Genomic DNA, 20,021 nt, shown 5'->3' with positions numbered 1-20,021 from the left:
GTGTGCACGTGACAGTGTGTGCATGTGAGAGTGTGTGCGCACATGTGACTGTGTGTGCATGTGAGAGTCTGTGTGTGCACATGAGAGTCTGTGTGCATGTGAGAGTGTGTGTGCATGAGAGTCTGTGTGTGCACGTGAGAGTGTGTGTGCATGTGAGAGTGTGTGTATGCATGTGAGAGTGTGTGTGCATGTGAGAGTGTGTGTGCATGTGAGTGTGTGTGCGCATGTGAGTCTGTGTGTGCATGTGACTGTGTGTGCATGTGAGTGTGTGTGCATGTGAGAGTCTGTGTGTGCATGTGAGAGTCTGTGTGTGCATGTGACTGTGTGTGCATGTGAGAGTGTGTGTGTGCATGTGAGAGTGTGTGTGCATGTGAGTGTGTGTGCGTGAGAGTGTATGTGTGCATGAGAGTCTGTATGAGTGCATGTGAGGATGTGCACGTGAGTGTGGTGGGGGCACTTGCTGACCTGTGGGTTTTCCTGCAGGTCATTAGGCACCAGGCTAGTGACCTAGGCCTGAGTGATCTCACATTTTTCTGTCATAATCACTCCTTTCTGTCTGGTGCCTTAGTCCTGCCCCCACTGCTGGATGTCTCCACCTTGGAAATGTATCTAAGTCATTTCTCCAGAGAAGACACTCCCACTTCCCGACGGCTGGGGGAGGATGGTTCTGGGGCCACTGGAGCCCTGACAGTGTCTTCTAGGCATCTGCTTGTTTCCCCTGCAGACTTTCCCTCTTAGCTCCAGCCTCATCCTGCTTTCCCTGGTACTTGGGGAGTCCAATTCCTGAGCCTTTCTGGGTTTCTGTGGCACACGATGACCCACATTTTAGTGGTGTCCCCTCCTCAGGAACTTGGGCCTTTTCTGTTCACGCTCTTTCCATCTTTGTTGACCTTCCTTGTCTACTGTTTCCTTTGCCTTTTTCTCCCCTCCCGTTTTCTTTGTCTCTGTGCATTTGTATACTTTTCCCTTTTGCTTTTATTTTGGTAGTACTTGGGGAAGCAATGAAAACAAAAACTGCTGCTCAATTTGCCACGTTTAACCAGTGCCCCATAATTATTAAGGGTCCTGCCGTAACCAATCAAGAGAATTTATCATCATTTATTTACCTGTAAAAGGATTTTCAAGTTGTTCTCAGTGTTTTGTTATGATAGCAAGTGCTTCAATAAATCTCCATCTAAATAGAGCTTTTTATTTCTGATAAATTGTATTCTTGGGCTGAATTCCCAGGAGGAGACTATGACTCCAGCAACTTCATGAGCTTTTTTCTTTATTTCTTTCCTTCCTTGTAGCCGCCCCAAGCTGAGGATGTGTTCCTGCCAGCCTTTATTATCACTTAGCAGTGATGGTACTATTTGTCCCCCAGTGTCCTCGGGGATGGGCCGAGGAGGGAGCAGGGCAGGGTTGGCACAAGGGCTCACTGCTGGAGAAGGCCAACAATGTGCAGAAAATGTGGATTTTGTGACAAGCGTGACACAGTGGCTGCAGAAAGAAAGGAACAGGTTGTGTGGGTGAGGACGGGCCTCTGCAGTGACATTCAATCACTGGACATTAACAGGGGACATCTGTCACTGCCACTCAGTGAGGAGGCCAGGCTTGCAGCCCGGGATGACAATATGTTCTGGGGCTCATGATCACGTGAAAAATACCACTTTTGCAGAGGGTCCTTCCAGCGTTTGTGACAAATCCTTCTATTTTTATTACAGAAATCCCGGGCAAATCCTTCAGTCAGGGGACTTTCTATTAACACGCAGCTGGTAAGTGAAAAATAAAACAACCAAGAGAAAACCCACACCAGATCCCAAATAATCACATGCTGGCCCTGTGAGCACAGGGCAGCCAGGCAGATGAGAGCACAGCCCTCAGAGGTCCCTGCGACACGCGTTTGAATGGCACAGCAGAGACCATAGCCCCTCCGCCCACCCCTTTCCTGGAGCTGCGCTTCCCTTCCCTGTCTTGTGCTTCCTCCTTTTCTCTCAAGAAGGAGATTTTATCACATACTGGCTGCTCAGTCAGCACCTGGGGCACCCTGGAAAGACCCACCCCTTGTCTTGTCCTCCACCTGTGGCAGCTGCAAGCCGGTGGGCCAGGAGAATATTTTAAATGCAGGATAGCTTTTCCCTGCCTCCCTTTTTGCTTTTCTGAGGTTTTTCATTGGTTAACATGTTTGGATATTTTCTCCAAAATAGCAGTAACTATTTTTCCATGAAGTTCATCTTGTTTCTAAGGGCAGGTTTATTGAGGTATAATTGAAAAGCAATAAAGTTCACCCTTTTAAATGTACAGTTCTACGTGTTACAGCCATATAAATGCCAGTCTTGGAGGTTGACTAAGCCAAATGACCACTTGGCTTAGGTGGTCTCCTGGAAGCAGATCCTAAGGCAGGGATTTGGTGCTTGTGTGTTATTGAGGAGAAGGGAGTGAGCAAAGCTGGATAGGAGAGTGGAAGGAACCGAGCAAGGATGTGAGGGATGAATTGTCCACAGCAAGTCCTGCCTTGAGGAAGGGGCACAGCGGAGGACCCATCGGGTCAGCTGAGGGTGAGTGGAGGAAGCTGGGCCTCCAGGCATTTTGGAGCCAGGTGGTTCTGCCAGCCTCGGGCAGTTCTCCAGGGAAGGATGCCCAGTGAGCCTGTAGCTGCCAAGTCTCACAGCATCAGGGGTGTGTGTGTGTGTGTGTGTGTGTGTGTGTGTGTGTGTGTGGCAGCACCAGCCAGTAAAAGGCAAAGGCATCTGGTCAGGCACTGATCCTACAACCAAACTTTCTTAGCATATTTAACTTGCACAAAAACCACCCGAGGAAACCCCAGGCTGCTAGGAAGCCAGCTCTGCCTCCCCAGCCTTCCCAGCCACAGGAATGAGCTTGCTGAGGGCCCAGCCCCGGGGCCGGGAGTCTGCTGCAAAGGATATGAAAAATTCTCACCATTACTTCTGCATGTGAAAAGAATATGCGTGTTGGAAATAACTTCCTAACTTACATATTTTTAAACATTTGTTTAGACTTATAGGAGAAATATTTTTACTGACTTTTGCATAAAGTGTACTGGAGGAAATTCATAAAACATAAGATGTAAAAAAGAATTTTAGAACTTGGAATTAGCTGGGCATAGTGGTGGGCGCCTGTAATCCCAGTTACTCGGGAGGCTGAGGCAGGAGAATTGCTTGAACCGGGGAGGCAGAGGTTGCAGTGAGCCAAGATTGTGCCACAGCATTCTAGCCTGGGCGACAGAGTGAGACTCTGTTTCAAAAACAAACAAAAAACACAAAAAACTTGGGCACAAGCATCCTGTTATAAGTCAGGAGCCATTTCTACCCAGTTTCTCTCAGGAAGTGCCCTGTGGAATGTACTGTAAATAAAGCACTTAGCAATCATTAACGCTCATGCTGTAAGCCTGGATTACACTGCAGTTCCAAACACATACTGTATACATGGGCGGGATCAACATCTTCCTAAAGCATAATCTAGGAATCAAGTCCCTGAATTTGAGAAAACCGGCTTCATTTGAGCAGGATTAATTCCTCCCACTTGCATCAGGAGAGGCTGTGCTAAATCTGTCAGAAGCATAACTATAAAGTCAATTCCTATGTATATGTGTATATAGCTGTATCTGTCTTTCTGTCCATCTGTCATGCATTTTAAGGCACTTTAAGGTGACACACAAAATGGAAATAGATTGACTTATATTCATTTTTGTTCAGAGCTGCCAGAAACATTTCTGAAATGTACATTTTTCCAATTTTACCTCATTTTAGTTTCATTGTTTTGTTCCTTAAGCAAAGTATCACTAACAGATCTTAATATATGGCAATAAACCAGGTGCCGCTAAGTGAGAGAAAAATAGGTACAATTTATTGTCACTTGATAGGTCTAAGTAAAGCCTTTTTGGTTATAATTCCTCAAAAATAAGGCTCTAAACACTGGAAAAGAAATAACCTTGCATGTCAGGTGTTTTCTCGTTATTTGTTTTATCAAATCTAAAAAGGACCTGATTAGGTTGTCAACTGATAATGGAGCAAAAATGGAGTTTGCAGCATGTAACTGGGAAGGGGTTCAAATATTTGAGTGGGCCAGGTGCAGTGGCTCACACCTGTAATCCCAGAACTTTGGGAGCCTGAGGAGGGTGGATTGCTTGAGCTCAGGAGTACGAGACCAGCCTGGGAAACATGACAAAACCCCATCTCTACAAAAAATACAAAAATTAGCTGGGTATGGTGGCGTCCACCTGTAGTCCCAGCTACTAGGGAGACTGAGGCACCAGAATCGCTTGAAACTGGGAGGCAGAGGCTGGAGTGAGCTGTGATCGTGCCACTGCATTCCAGCCTGAGTGACAGAACAAGACTCTGTCTAAAAAAACAAAAAACAAAAAACCAAATATTTGAGTGATGTTGCTATAGAGAAACTGCTTCCAGTCCCATGGATTTCATGTGAGCAGGTATCTTGATGCTCCATTTGTAAAACTGAGAAAAGAGATGAAATGGGTGATGAAACTGTCAGGCTAGCAATAAACAGCATCCAGCTATGCATGATGAACCAATCAAAAAAGTTCTATTTCAAAAAAGATACATTCCTCCAATAAAATAGGAGTTTTTATGTTTAATCATTCTTTAAATTTTAAGTATATTTATTATTGCTCAACTGTGCATAATAATAATTGTTATAATTCAACCCAGATGACATTTTAAATACATAGAAACATATGATTGCAGGAAATTTTTATTTTTAATTTTTTGAGACTGAGTCTCACTCTGACGCCCAGGCTGGAGTGCAGTGGCATGATATTGGCCCACTGCAAGCTCTACCTCCCAGATTCAAGCAAATATCCTGCCTCAGCCTCCCAAGTAGCTGGGATTACAGGCGCCCACTGCCACGCCCAGCTAATTTTTGTGTTTTAGTAGAGATGGGATTTCACCATGTTGGCCAGACTGGTCTCTAACTCTTGACCTTGTGATCCACCCGCCTCAGCCTTCCAAAGTGCTGGGATTACAGGCGTGAGCCACAGCGCCTGGCCAGAAATTTTTTAAAATTAGTTAAAATGATATATTTTTGTTACAGAGACATATGACATTGTTCAATGAAGGATCTTCTAGCACAAAACATATATGTTAGGGTCAAATTCTTTGGGGCAACTGGAATAAATAAAAATTCAAGGTGTGAAAGGAACAGTGTTAAATTTCTCATTGAAAAGGAATTTTTTTTTTATTTTCCAAAAGTAATGTATTTCAGAATAAATTTTCATTAAACAATATTGAGTATCGAAATCTAAATTTCATTTTTTATTGGAGTAACTTTAAGTAGTACCAGGTATAATCTAAGTATCACATTTTTTAAACTTTACTATAAAACTTACAATATAGGTTTATCTTGCACATGAGTATCAACTTCAGATATATGACATTTCTTTTTTTTTCAGTGCTATCACTTTATTTTATTTTATTTTATTATTATTTTTAATTTTATTATTATACTTTAAGTTCTAGGGTACATGTGCACAACGTGCAGGTTTGTTACATATATATACACATGCCATGTTGGTGCACTGCACCCATTAACTCGTCATTTACATTAGATATATCTCCTAATGCTATTCCTCCCCCCTCTCCCCACCCCACGACAGGCCCCAGTGTATGACGTTCCCCATCCTGTGTCCAAGTGTTCTCATTGTTCAATTCCCACCTGTAAGTGAGAACATGCAGTGTTTGGTTTTCTGTCCTTGCGATAGGTTGCTCAGAATGATGGTTTCCAGCTTCATCCATGTCCCCACAAAGGACATAAACTCATCCTTCTTTTATGGCTGCATAGTATTCCATGGTACGTAAGTGCCACATTTTCTTTTTTATTATTATTATTATACTTTAAGTTTTAGGGTACATGTGCACAATGTGCAGGTTAGTTACATATGTATACATGTGCCATGCTGGTGCGCTGCACCCATTAACTCGTCATTTAGCATTAGCTATATCTCCTAATGCTATCCCTCCCCCCTCCCCCGACAACAGTCCCCAGAGTGTGATGTTCCCCTTCCTGTGTCCATGTGTTCTCATTGTTCAATTCCCACCTATGAGTGAGAACATGCGGTGTTTGGTTTTTTGTCCTTGAGATAGTTTACTGAGAATGATGATTTCCAATTTCATCCATGTCCCTACAAAGGACATGAACTCATCATTTTTTATGGCTGCATAGTATTCCATGGTGTATATGTGCCACATTTTCTTAATCCAGTCTATCATTGTTGGACATTTGGATTGGTTCCAAGTCTTTGCTATTGTGAATAGTGCCACAATAAACATACATGTGCATGTGTCTTTATAGCAGCATGATTTATAGTCCTTTGGGTATATACCCAGTAATGGGATGGCTGGGTCAAATGGTATTTCTAGTTCTAGATCCCTGAGGAATTGCCACACTGACTTCCACAGTGGTTGAACTAGTTTACAGTCCCACCAACAGTGTAAAAGTGTTCCTATTTCTCCACATCCTCTCCAGCACCTGTTGTTTCCTGACTTTTTAATGATTGCCATTGTAACTGGTGTGAGATGGTATCTCATTGTGGTTTTGATTTGCATTTCTCTGATGGCCAGTGATGGTGAGCATTTTTTCATGTGTTTTTTGGCTGCATAAATGTCTTCTTTTGAGAAGTGTCTGTTCATGTCCTTCGCCCACTTTTTGATGGGGTTGTTCGTTTTTTTCTTGTAAATTTGTTTGAGTTCATTGTAGATTCTGGATATTAGCCCTTTGTCAGATGAGTAGGTTGCAAAAATTATCTCCTATTTTGTAGGTTGCCTGTTCACTCTGATGGTAGTTTCTTTTGCTGTGCAGAAGCTCTTTAGTTTAATTAGATCCCATTTGTCAATTTTGGCTTTTGTTGCCATTGCTTTTGGTGTTTTAGACATGAAGTGCTTGCCCATGCTTGTTTGCAGATGACATGATCGTATATCTAGAAAACCCCATTGTCTCAGCCCAAAATCTCCTTCAGCTGATAAGCAACTTCAGCAAAGTCTCAGGATACAAAATCAATGTACAAAAATCACAAGCATTCTTATACACCAATAACAGACAAACAGAGAGCTAAATCATGAGTGAACTCCCATTCACAATTGCTTCAAAGAGAATAAAATACCTAGGAATCCAACTTACAAGGGACATGAAGGACCTCTTCAAGGAGAACTACAAACCACTGCTCAATGAAATAAAAGAGGGTACAAACAAATGGAAGAACATTCCATGCTCATGGGTAGGAAGAATCAATATCATGAAAATGGCCATACTGCCCAAGGTAACTTATAGATTCAATGCAATCCCCATCAAGCTACCAGTGAGTTTCTTCACAGAATTGGAAAAAACTACTTTAAAGTTCATATGGAACCAAAAAAGAGCCCGCATCGCCAAGTCAATCCTAAGCCAAAAGAACAAAGCTGGAGGCATCACGCTACCTGACTTCAAACTATACTACAAGGCTACAGTAACCAAAACAGCATGGTACTGGTACCAAAACAGAGATATAGATCAATGTAACAGAACAGAGCCCTCAGAAATAACACCGCATATCTACAGCTATCTGATCTTTGACAAACCTGAGAAAAACAAGAAATGGGGAAAGGATTTCCTATTTAATAAATGATGCTGGGAAAACTGGCCAGTCATATGTAGAAAGCTGAAACTGGATCCCTTCCTTACACCTTACACAAAAATTAATTCAAGATGGATTAAAGACTTAAACGTTAGACCTAAAACCATAAAAACCCTAGAAGAAAACCTGGGCATTACCATTCAAGTGCCACATTTTCTTAATCCAGTCTATCATTGATGGACATTTAGGTTGGTTCCAAGTCTTTGCTATTGTGAACAGTGCTGCAATAAACATATGTGTGCATGTGTCTTTATAGCAGCATGATTTATAATCCTTTGGGTATATACCCAGTAATGGGATGGCTGGGTCAAATGGTATTTCTAGTTCTAGATCCTTGAGGAATGGCTACACTGTCTTCCACAATGGTTGAACAAGTTTACAGTCCCTCCAATAGTGTAAAAGTGTTCCTATTCCTCCACATCCTCTCCAGCACCTGTTGTTTCCTGACTTTTTAATGATCGCCATTCTAACTGGTGTGAGGTGGTGTCTCATTGTGGTTTTGATTTGCATTTCTCTGATGGCCAGTGATGATGAGCATTTTTTCATGTCTGTTGGCTGCATAAATGTCTTCTTTTGAGAAGTGTCTGTTCATAGCCTTTGCCCACTTTTTGATGGGGTTGTTTGATTTTTTCTTGTAAATTAGTTTAAGTTCTTTGTAGATTCTGGATATTAGCCCTTTGTCAGATGGGTAGATTACAAAAATTTTCTCCCATTCTGTAGGTTGCCTGTTCACTCTGATGGTAGTTTCTTTTGCTGTGCAGAAGCTCTTTAGTTTAATTAGATCTCATTTGTCAATTTTGGCTTTTGTTGCCATTGCTTTTGGTGTTTTAGACATGAAGTCCTTGCCCATGCTTATGTCCTGAATGGTATTGCCTAGGTTTTCTTCTAGGGTTTTTATAGTTTTAGGTCTAACATTTAAGTCTTTAATCCATCTTGAATTAATTTTTGTATAAGGTGTAAGGAAGGGATCCAGTTTCAGGATTTTACATATGGCTAGCCAGTTTTCCCAGCACCATTTATTAAATAGAGAATCCTTTCCCCATTTCTTGTTTTTGTCAGGTTTGTCAAAGATCAGATGGTTGTGGATGTATGTATTATTTCTGAGGGCTCTGTTCTGTTCCATTGGTCTATATCTTTGTTTTGGTACCAGTACCATGCTGTTTTGGTTACTGTAGCCTTGTAGTATAGTTTGAAGTCAGGTAGCGTGATGCCTCCAGCTTTGTTCTTTTGGCTTAGGATTGTCTTGTCAATGCGGGCTCTTCTTTGGTTCCATATGAACTTTAAAGTAGCTTTTTTCCAATTCTGTGAAGAAAGTCATTGGTAGCTTGATGGGGATAGCATTGAATCTATAAATTACCTTGGGCAGTATGGTCATTTTCACGATATTGATTCTTCCTATCCATGAGCATGAAATGTTTTTCTGTTTGTTTGTGTCCTCTTTTATTTCATTGAGCAGTGGTTTGTAGTTCTCCTTGAAGAGGTCCTTCACATCCCTTGTAAGTTGGATTCCTAGGTATTTTATTATCTTTGTAGCAATTGTGAATGGGAGTTCGCTCATGATTTGGCTCTCTGTTTGTCTGTTTATTGGTGTATAAGAATGCTTGTGATTTTTGCACATTGATTTTGTATCCTGAGACTTTGCTGATGTTGCTTATCAACTTAAGGAGATTTTGGGCTGAGGCGATGGGGTTTTCTAGATATTCAATCATGTCATCTGCGAACAGGGACAATTTGACTTCCTCTTTTCCTAATTGAATATCCTTTATTTCTTTCTCCTTCTTGATTGCCCTGGCCAGAACTTCCAACACTATGTTGAATAGGAGTGGTGAGAGAGAGCATCCCTGTCTTGTGCCATTTTCAAAGGGAATGCTTCCAGTTTTTGCCCATTCAGTATGATATTGGCTGTGGGTTTGTCATAAATAGCTCTTATTATTTTGAGATATGTCCAATCACTACCAAATTTATTGAGAGTGTTTAGCATGAAGGGCTCTTGAATTTTTTTGAAGGCCTTTTCTGCATCTATTGAGATAATCATATGGTTTTTGTCTTTGGTTCTGTTCATATGATGGATTAATTTTATTGATTTGTGTATGTTGAAGCAGCCTTGCATCCCAGGGATGAAATGGACTTGATCGTGGTGGATAAGCTCTTTGATGTGCTACTGGATTCGGTTTGCCAGTATTTTGTGGAGGATTTTTGCTTCGGTGTTCATCAGGGATATTGGTGTAAAATTCTCTTTTTCGTTGTGTCTCTGCCAGGCTTTGGTATCAGGATGATCCTGGCTTCATAAAATGAGTTAGGGAGGATTCCCTCTTTTTCTATTGATTGGAATAGTTTCAGAAGGAATGGTAGCAGCTCCTCTTTGTATCTCTGGTAGAATTCAGCTGTGAATCCGTCTGGTCCTGGACTTTTTCTGGTTGGTAGGCTATTAATTATTGCCTCAATTTCAGAGCCTGTTATTGGTCTCTTCAGGGATTCAACTTCTTCCTGGTTTAGTTTTGGGAGGGTGTATGTGTCCAGGAATTTATCCATTTCTCCTAGATTTTCTAGTTTATTTGCGTAGAGGTGTTTATAGTATTCTCTGATGATAGTTTGTATTTCTGTGGGATCAGTGGTCATATCTCCATTATCATTTTTTATTGTGTCTATTTGATTCTGCTCTCTTCTCTTCTTTATTAGTCTTGCTAGTGGTCTATCAGTTTTGTTGATCTTTTCAAAAAACCAGCTCCTGGATTCATTGATTTTTTAAGGGTTTTTTTGTGTCTCTGTCTCCTTCAGTTCTGCTCTGATCTTAGTTATTTCTTGCCTTCTGCTAGCTTTTGAATGTGTTTGCTCTTGCTTCTCTAGTTCTTTTAATTGTGATGTTAGGGTGTCAATTTTAGATCTTTCCTGCTTTCTCTTGTGGGCATTTAGTGCTGTAAATTTCCCTCTACACACTGCTTTAAATGTGTCCCAGAGATTCTGGTATGTTGTGTCTTTGTTCTCATTGGTTTCAAAGAACATCTTCATTTCTGCCTTCATTTCTTTATTTACCCAGTAGTCATTCAGGAGCAGGTTGTTCAGTTTCCATGTGGTTGTGTGGTTTTGAGTGAGTTTCTTAATCCTGAGTTCTAGTTTGATTGCACTGTGGTCTGAGAGACAGTTTGTTATAATTTCTGTTCTTTTACATTTGCTGAGGAGTGCTTTACTTCCAACTACATGGTTAATTTTGGAATAAGTGCAATGTGGTGCTGAGAAAAATGTATATTCCATTGATTTGGGGTGGAGAGTTCTGTAGATGTCTGTTAGGTCTGCTTGGTGCAGAGCTGAGTTCAATTCCTGGATATCCTTGTTACCTTTCTGTCTCATTGATCTGTCTAATGTTGATAGTGGGGTGTTAAAGTCTCCCATTATTATGGTGCGGGAGTCTAAGTCTCTTTGTAGGTCTCTTAGGACTTGCTTTATGAATCTGGGTGCTCCTGTATTGGGTGCATATATATTTATGATAGTTAGCTCTTCTTATTGAATTGATCCCTTTACCACTATGTAATGACCTTCTTTGTCTTTTCTGATATTTGTTGGTTTAAAGTCTGTTTTATCAGAGACTAGGATTGCAACCCCTGCTTTTTTTTTTTGTATTCCATTTGCTTGGTATATCTTCCTCCATCCCTTTATTTTGAGCCCATGTGTGTCTCTGCATGTGAGATGGGTCTCCTGACTACAGCACACTGATTGTTCTTAACTCTTTATCCAATTTGCTAGTCTGTGTCTTTTAATTGGGGCATTTAGCCCATTTACATTTAAGGTCAGTATTGTTATGTGTGAATTTGATCCTGTGACTGTGATGTTAGCTGGTAATTTTGCTCATTAGTTGATGCAGTTTCTTCCTAGCATCAATGGTCTTTACAATTTGGCATGTTTTTGCAGTGGCTGGTACTGGTTGTTCCTTTCCATGTTTCGTGCTTCCTTCAGGAGCCCTTGTAAGGCAGGCCTGGTGGTGACAAAATCTCTCAGCATTTGCTTGTCTGTAAAGGATTTTATTTCTCCTTCACTTATGAAGCTTAGTTTGGCTGGATATGAAATTCTGGGTGAAAAATTCCTTTCTTTAAGAATGTTGAATATTGGCCCCCACTCTCTTCTGGCTTGTAGAGTTTCTGCTGAGGGATTCACTGTTAGTCTGATGGGCTTCCCTTTGTGGGTAACCCGACCTTTCTCTCTGTCTGCCCTTAACATTTTTTCCTTCATTTCAACTTTGGTGAATCTGACAATTATGTGTCTTGGAGGTGCTCTTCTCGAGGAGTATCTTTGTGGCATTCTCTTTATTTCCTGTATTTGAATGTTGGCCTGCCTTGCTAAGTTGGAGAAGTTCTCCTGAATAATATCCTGAAGAGTGTTTTTCAACTTGGTTCCATTCTCCCCGTCACTTTCAGGTACACCAATCAAATGTAGATTTGGTCTTTTCATATAGTCCCATATTTCTTGGAGGCTTTGTTCATTTCTTTTTTACTCTGTTTTCTCTAAACTTCTCTTCTTGCTTCATTTCGTTCATTTGATCTTCAATCACTGATACCCTTTCTTCCAGTTGATCGAATTGGCTACTGAAGCTTGTGCATGCATCACGTAGTTCTCATGCCATGGTTTTCAGATCCATCAGGTCATTTAAAGTCTTCTCTATGCTGTTTATTCTAGTTAGCCGTTCGTCTAATCTTTTTTCAAGGTTTTTAGCTTCTTTGCAATGGGTTCGAATATCCTCCTTTAGCTCGAAGCAGTTTTTTATTACCGATCGTCTGAAGCCTTCTTCTCTCAACTCGTCAAAGTCATTCTCTGTCCACCTTTGTTCCATTGCTGGCGAGGAGCTGCGTTCCTTTGGAGGAGAAGAGGTGTTCTGATTTTTAGAATTTTCAGCTTTTCTGCTCTGGTTTCGCTCCATCTTTTTGGTTTTATCTACCTTTGGTCTTTGATGATGGTGATGTACCGATGGGGTTTTGGTGTGGATGTCCTTTCTGTTTGTTAGTTTTCCTTCTAACAGTCAGGACCCTCAGTTGCAGGTCTGTTGGAGTTTGCTGGAGGTCCACTCCAGACCCTGTTTGCCTGGGTATCACCAGCAGAGGCTGCAGAACAGTGAATATTGCAGAACAGCAAATGTTGCTGCCTGATTGTTCCTCTGGAAGCTTCGTCTCAGAGGGACACCTGGCCGTGTGAGGTGTCAGTCGGCCCCTACTGGGAGGTACCTCCCAGTTAGGCTACTAGGGGTTCAGGGACCCACTTGAGGAGGCAGTCTGTCCGTTCTCAGATCTCAAACTCCATGCTGGGAGAAACACTACTCTCTTCAAAGCTATCAGACAGGGACGTTTAAGTCTGCAGAAGTTTCTGCTGCCTTTTGTTCAGCTATGTCCTGCCCCCAGAGGTGGAGTCTACAGAGGCAGGCAGGCCTCCTTGAGCTGTGGTGGGCTCCACCCAGTTCAAGCTTCCCGGTGCTTTGTTTACCTACTCAAGCCTCAGTAATGGCGGGTGCCCCTCCCCTAGCCTTGCTGCCACCTTGCCGTTCAATCTCAGACTGCTGTGCTAGCAATGAGCGAGGCTCCGTGGGCATGGGACCCTCCAAGCCTGGCACGGGACATAATCTCCTGGTGTGCCATTTGCTAAGACCATTGGAAAAGCACACTATTAGGGTGGGAGTGACCCAATTTTCCAGGTGCCATCTGTCACGGCTTCCTTTGGCTAGGAAAGGGAATTCCCCGACCCCTTGTACTTCCCGGGTGAGGTGATGCCTCGCCCTCCTTTGGCTCACGTTCCTTGGGCTGCACCCACTGTCCTGCACCCACTGTCTGACAAGCCCCAGTGAGATGAACCCGGTACCTCAATTGGAAATGAAGAAATCACTCATCTTCTGTGTTGCTCACGCTGGGAGCTATAGACTGGAGCTGTTCCTATTTGGCCATCTTGGAACTTCTCCAGGAAATGTTTGTTAATGCATTTTCTAAAGTGGATGATGGTGGGCATCAAATTGCCTTTTATTTAAAAAGAGCACTCTAATAATTTCACTTAAAGCTCTTCATATGGACAGTGTGCTGGGAATATTCTTTGTAACTATTTAAAACGTGAACTCTTTCAGTGATGTATTGCTATGTCAAAAGCCATTCCAGACTACAGTGGCTTAAACAACACCACATTACTTCTGGGCTCCCTGCTATTGGGACTCAGGAGAAGCTGAAGGTGGCCCTACTGATGACTAATCCTCAGTTGGGGAGTGGGAGAAGCTGAGTGTCACAGAGAGAACACAGCCTCAGGATGGAGACAGCCAGGCCCCACTCACCTTGTGACTGCAGGAAGCACCGAGCCTCTCTGAGCTCTGGTCTCACCCACCGGGATGAGGCCACCCACTATGTGGCTGCAGATGCAGCAGGCAGCCTGGCTGTGGAGGGGAAGGAGGGCAGCAGGCAAGGGTTCAAGGTGTGGAGCCTATAGGGGCAGCACAGCTGCCAGTCATGTGGTAGTGGAAGCTCAGAACATCGGAGATGGGTCCTCTCCAGCCCCCGGTTCCTCTTGCTGAGTCCCACATTGCCTGTGCTCTCCTGGTTACCGAGCAAGCAGCAGCCATTACAATGGGAGGCCGTGGAGAGTGGCGATGGGGCTCCTTAGTTTCCAGCTGAGCCCTGCAGGGAATGGCTTTTAGTCTCGAGACTGGAGGGTCTTCATGCCGGTGGTCTTCCTGACCCACAAGGCCCTGGACAGTCCATAGGCCCATGCCCTTCTAACCCCATTTGTGCCTGAGCCCCACCCCCACACAAGTGCTCCCCAAATGCTCCCTTGGCCCATGTCCCATGAGAGCATGAAAGTCTTCACCCAGAAGTCGAAGGACCTCAGGAAAGCTGTGTGTGGTGGAAAGGACAGAGGAGGGGTCCCTGAGCAGCCCTCCTGTCTCAACAGCCCCCCCTTTCCCATTCCCTCCACCCTCCTCAGTCCCCCAGGTGACAGAGGTACTCCTCTCTGGGTCTTGCCAACCTCCAGTACCCACTGGACGCAAAGGAGATATTTGCTTAGACTTTGCTGACTCCGAGGTGGATGGCCTGGGGCAATTCCCCAGCCCTGCGGTTGGGGAAGGAGGAGGCTGAGCTTTGGCCCCGTCTCTGGGGCAGGAGGAGGCTAGGCTGTGGCCCCACCACTGGGGAAGGAGGAGGCTAGGCTGTGGCCCCACCACTGGGGAAGGAGGAGGCTGGGCTGTGGCCCCACCACTGGGGAAGGAGGAGGCTGGGCTCTGGCCTCATCACTGGGGAAGGAGGAGGCTGGGCTCTGTGCTATGCCTTGGGGTTGGGGAAAGTTGTGCTCTGGCCCTTTCCTAACTCTGATTCAGGTTCATTGTCCCTCTAGGAGAGCTCCAGGCTATTTCCCCATTAGTTCTTTTGAACAGGTCTCATCATGTGATGTGGACACAGCATTGTCTAGTTTTATACCAGGAGAGAGATTCCTTCTCTTGCCTAATTCCTGGCCCTGGCAGTGGCCCTGTCCTTCTGAAACCCCATCTGTCATCTCTGCCTGCCCAGCAATCCTTCCTCCTTCTTTTGGGGCCACCTGCATTTCTCTTTGGGGACACGGCCTGCTTTCATGGTGTCTCGGTAGAACTACTGATAGAGGTGTCCTACCCCTGCACTACCCTGGGCATCCCAGCCCGCCTCTCTGCGGAGCAAAGCTAGAAGAGAAGTGTAAGAGTTAAAGAGGAAAGAAACATGAAACACAGCTTAACAGTTAAACACAGGTTTATTTAAGAAAAAAAATCCGAGAGGGGCTTCTGGGTGATTTTGGTCAGGAGTGCTTTCTCTTACAGACTAAGTATATATTGGTTTTAGGGTGATGGGGCTTATTACAAACTTAGAATGTTTCTGTGTGGGGAGAAGTTTATGATGGGGTCGGAATGTCTGTTACCTTGGGGCTGACATCTTCCTGGCCGGAGGGGGCTTATCTTGGGGCTAGCATATCTCTGGTCAGAGAGGAGTTTGGAATGTTTCTCATCAGAGATGTTATTTGTGGTTTATGGTCATGTTGACCTTAGCCGTTAGGCTGCTGCCCCTTGGATTTAGGTGGTTTTTGATTAACGTGAACTTTAAAATGACAGTGCTTGTCCAAGATGGCGAAACTCCTGCTCTGTCAAGAAGTGGTCAGCACCTCTAGCTCCTGAGCTCCAGTGCCAGGGCCTCTCGTTTTGTGGGCAGACCAGCCTCTCTGCCTTTGACTCTACAGCCTCCTGCACTCCTGCAATGTGCTGTGACCACAGTGCCCTGGCTAAATCCATCACCTTTCCTTCTCTCTCCAGGACAGTTTCATCACAACACATAGGAGGTAGAAAAGAGGTGAAAGTGTGGACACAATACACTCTGTGCCTGCAGTGGCTGTCTCTTCCTCCAAATGCTCCCTCCCTCCAGAGGGCCCATAGGGGCGAGTGTGTGGCCCCAACAGTGTCCTTCCTGGGCACAGAGCCCATGTGGGGCACTGCTCTGCAGGATAGCAGAGAACATGCTTCAGTGAGGCAGAGCCTGTGGCCCCTAGACATGGAGCCAAAGGAGGGGGGGGTTCCCCACAATTGTTTCTGAAGGTTCAGCTGCACTATGATCTCTTCTCAGTTATCACATATGGGGTCCCATTTGACATAGATTGGATGTTTTGTCCCCTCCAAATCTCCTGTTGAAATGGGATCTCTGGTGTTGGAGGTGGAGCCTAGTGGGAGGTGTTTGGGTTATGGTGGGGATGCCTCATGAATGGCTTGGTGCTCTCCTCCTGGTGATGAGTGAGTTCTCTATGAGTTCACATGGGATCTGGTTATTTAAAAGAGGCTGGCATCCCCTCCCTCTCTGTCTTGCTCCCCATCTTACTTTGTGATACACTGGCTCCTGCTTCACCTTCTGCCATGACTAAAAGCTTCCTGAGGCCCCACCAGAAGCCAAGCAGATGCCCGTGCCATGCTTGTATAAATGAAGAATCAAGAGCCAAGTAAAACTCATTTCTTGGCCAGGCATGGTGGCTTATGCCTGTAATCCCAGCACTTTGGGAGGCCGAGGCGGGTGGATCACCTGAGGTCAGGAGTTTGAGACCAGGCTGGCCAACATGGTGAAACCTCGTCTCTACTAAATATACAAAAAAAATTTAGCTGGGTTTGGGTGGTGGGTGCCTGTAATCCCAGTTACTTGGGAGGCTGAGGCAGAAGAATTGCTTGAACCTGGGAGGTGGAGGTTGCAGTGAGCCGAGATCATGCCACTGCACTCCACCCTGGGTGACGGAGTGAGACTATGTCTCAAAAAACAAAACAAAACAAAAACAAAAACAAAAAACAACAACAAAACAAAACAAGATACTTCATTTCTTTATAAATTGCCCAGTCTCAGATATTCCTTTGTAGCAATGCAAATTGACTAACAGGCCATTCCACAAGCCAATAAATTCCCCTTTTGCCTAAATCAGTCACAGTTGGTTTTGATGCTTGCAACCAGAAGCATCTTGAAAATTTTATCTGAAGGAGAGTATTTGATTTCCATTTTTAATAGTATTTGTGAACTGGTTAAACTGAAAACTTTCTCTAGAAATGCTAAACAAAATCTATGTGTCCTTTTTTTAAGGAAATATATATTTAATCATTCTCTTGAACGATCAGAACTCCAAAGCTAGTTTTCTATAACAAAATGTAACACAGACACGGTGGCTCCAAGGGCCAGGAAGGCAGTGGTTAAGACACGAAAAGTGTGGGAAGGGGGCTGGAAACAAAGCATTCTTTTCCATCAAAGCTTCATTCCTCAAGGCCTCAATTCAAACAGTCATTGTCCCTGCTTTCAAAAGTCTCTGTGTGCTTCATGGAAGGTATATGTTTGTTGCCGTAATTTGAACTGTGGCCAGGCAGGGTCTGGAGATCTAAATTCAGAGTAAGAAAACTTGAGGTAGAACTCAGGCAGCTCTCTTACAGAACTTGGCTTAGAGGGTAGAATGAAGGGAAAGGAACTTAGAAGCGCAACAAGCTGAAGATAATCCCATCAGGCATTTCCCACAGGCCTTGTCAACTCTGTTCTCTGAGAGATGTTATCCTGGTGTCCGATAGAGTTTTGGCTCTCTGTGCTGAGGCAGCAGCCAAAGAGACAGAATGCTTATTTGCCAATGACTAATGTGAGGAAGCAGACAGACTTGTTTGTTCCCCTCTTGCTAGGCCCTTTTCTACTCTAAATCAGGGTTTCTTAGCCCTGACACAGTTGACCCTTGGGACTGGGTAATTGTAATGGGGAGACGTCCTGTACATGGTAGGAGGTTGAGCAGCATCCCTGGCCTCTACCCACTAGATGCTAGTAGCACCGTCTCCTCCTCCACTCCCTCATTGTGGCAACCAAAATTGTCTTCAGACATTCCCCCGGGGATGGGGGGCGAAAATCTCCCCAGTTGAGTCCCACTGCTCTAGATGCTATTGAAAACTGAGGTCATAGCTATCTACGCAGGATGGAAAGGAGAAGCCTCAGAGCTTGTGATGACATAATGCCACATAGTCACGGTGAAAGGTCCTTCCCTGGAGCATTCACAGATGAACATCATCTGAGAAATAAACCCGCATTTGTTTGAAAAGATGGTGCTCAGTTTACTTATAAAATCGGTGTCACAGACTGGTTTGTTTATGCTAAAATTATGATCATTTTTCTTATCTTTGGCATTTTTCAGTTGGGAAGAGAAACTGAGGCACCTTTGGAAGCATCATGAAAAGTGAATCACTTGACCCATTACTAAAATGCAGCCGTCCCTGAGTTGCAAAGTGGCAGTCAATTAGCAGCATCTTAGAATATACACTACAGCTTAATTCATGGAATATAAGATGTGTATATATTGGGATAGAGACTTTCTGGGAGCTTTCTTAGAGCAACATTACAGCACATATAACTAAAATTTCAGAGACAAAGAACACGCACTATCCTATCCTCTCACTCCCCAGTTGATAGGTAGGGGGAGGTCCCTGAGATCTGGGGATGCACTTGTCTCCTCGTGCATTTTACTTATTACTCTTGTCTAGTTCAGATGAATTATTTTCCCAACTTCTAATATGTCTTTGAAGATAGATTATTTTTGTTCATATTGGAGCCTTCTGCTTTTGGCTTCTTTTTGTTTCTTATTCTTGTTTGCTCACTCCAGACTTCTAGATATGAATTCACTTCCTCCCAGAAATATAAAACTAGGTCATATCTGGTGGCAAAATAGTTCTGTAGATCCCTGTTGTAACGATGACTTTGCATGCTTTTTTGTGGCCGAGTCACATTATTTTAGCATCAGGTAAGGGGCAAGAAGCAGAAGTGCCCAGCTGATGGCAAAAAAAGAAGAGACACACAGAGAAGACTTTGAGTTCAGCAGCTGTAGGTGACTCCGCCTTTTGATCTCAGATTCTGTCCTTTGATATCCCCTGTTGCTTTGGCAATGTCATTTTCAATCATACAGGAGTATGTGTTGTTGATCGTAACATTGTAGAGCACAGACACAACCTTCATGGCCACATCCTCAGAGTTCAGCCCAAAGGTGGTATTGGAGACTTCTGAGAATTTGGCTCCCTGGTCAACTAGGGATCTTCAGACCACTGTGGGCTGAGAGACCCATAAGGGAGCCTCACATCGCAAGGTCTCTGAGTTGGCATTATAGTCTACTTTCACCTCTGGTATGCTGAAGGCTCCAGTTTTATACTCAAGGTTAGCATTCCCCTTGCCTTTAGAAGTGATGATATAACATTTGTAGGTGCCAGCATCTGTGAGTTGTATGTTTTTCAGCTGCAGAGAGGCATTGCCAACTATCACTTGATCAGCAAGCACTGCTGTCAGGCCTCTGAACATTTCATCCTGCTCTGACAGCTCATCTTTGCCTTCTTTGAACTCATGGACCAAGCCTATAACCCCTTCCTTCAGCCATTGTATCATGATATCAGAAAGTTTGATGTCAAGTTCAAAAGTGCAGCTCAGGATTCCATCCTCCCCAATGTTCCCAGCTGAGGTGAGAGTAGTGACTGTGATGGAGTGTCTCCCTGAAATACGAAAGCCAATGATGAGTGCAATTGCTCCAGCCAGAGTAATGATGATGCTAATTATGCTGTAGAAACTTCATGGCTTTTTCTTTGTTTTCATGAAGACCCAATCTGCGGCTCTTTAGCATATTTCTTTTTCTTTTTTTTTTTTTTTTTGAGACAGAGTCTCACTCTGTCTCCCAGGCTGGAGTGCAGTGGCGCGATCTCTGCTCACTGCAAGCTCCGCCTCCCGGGTTCACGCCATTCTGCTTCAGCCTCCTGAGTAGCTGGGACTACAGGCGCCCGCCACCACGCCCGGCTAATTTTTTTGTATTTTTTAGTAGAGACTGGGTTTCACCGTGTTAGCCAGGATGGTTTTGATCTCCTGACCTCTTGATCCACCTGCCTCGGCCT

At 44.0% G+C, this 20,021-nt stretch overlaps 1 pseudogene, besides 1 other annotated feature; it reads right to left on the bottom strand.

Moving 5' to 3' along the window:
* Positions 12,701-13,637: an enhancer, noted in NCBI's record as "H3K4me1 hESC enhancer chr20:25085805-25086741 (GRCh37/hg19 assembly coordinates)". NCBI's record gives its function as "activates a minimal SCP1, AML or CMV promoter by ChIP-STARR-seq in naive H9 embryonic stem cells {active_cell/tissue: H9 hESC(naive)}" and the evidence as "EXISTENCE:reporter gene assay evidence [ECO:0000049][PMID:30033119]".
* VTCN1P1 (VTCN1 pseudogene 1) lies at positions 18,681-19,763 on the bottom strand (annotated as a pseudogene).

Source organism: Homo sapiens, chromosome 20 (assembly GCF_000001405.40).
Source record: "Homo sapiens chromosome 20, GRCh38.p14 Primary Assembly".
Lineage (NCBI taxonomy): Eukaryota > Metazoa > Chordata > Mammalia > Primates > Hominidae > Homo > Homo sapiens.
The sequence above is the reverse complement of the archived record's forward strand: the minus strand, read 5'-3'. Positions and strand labels throughout refer to the sequence as shown.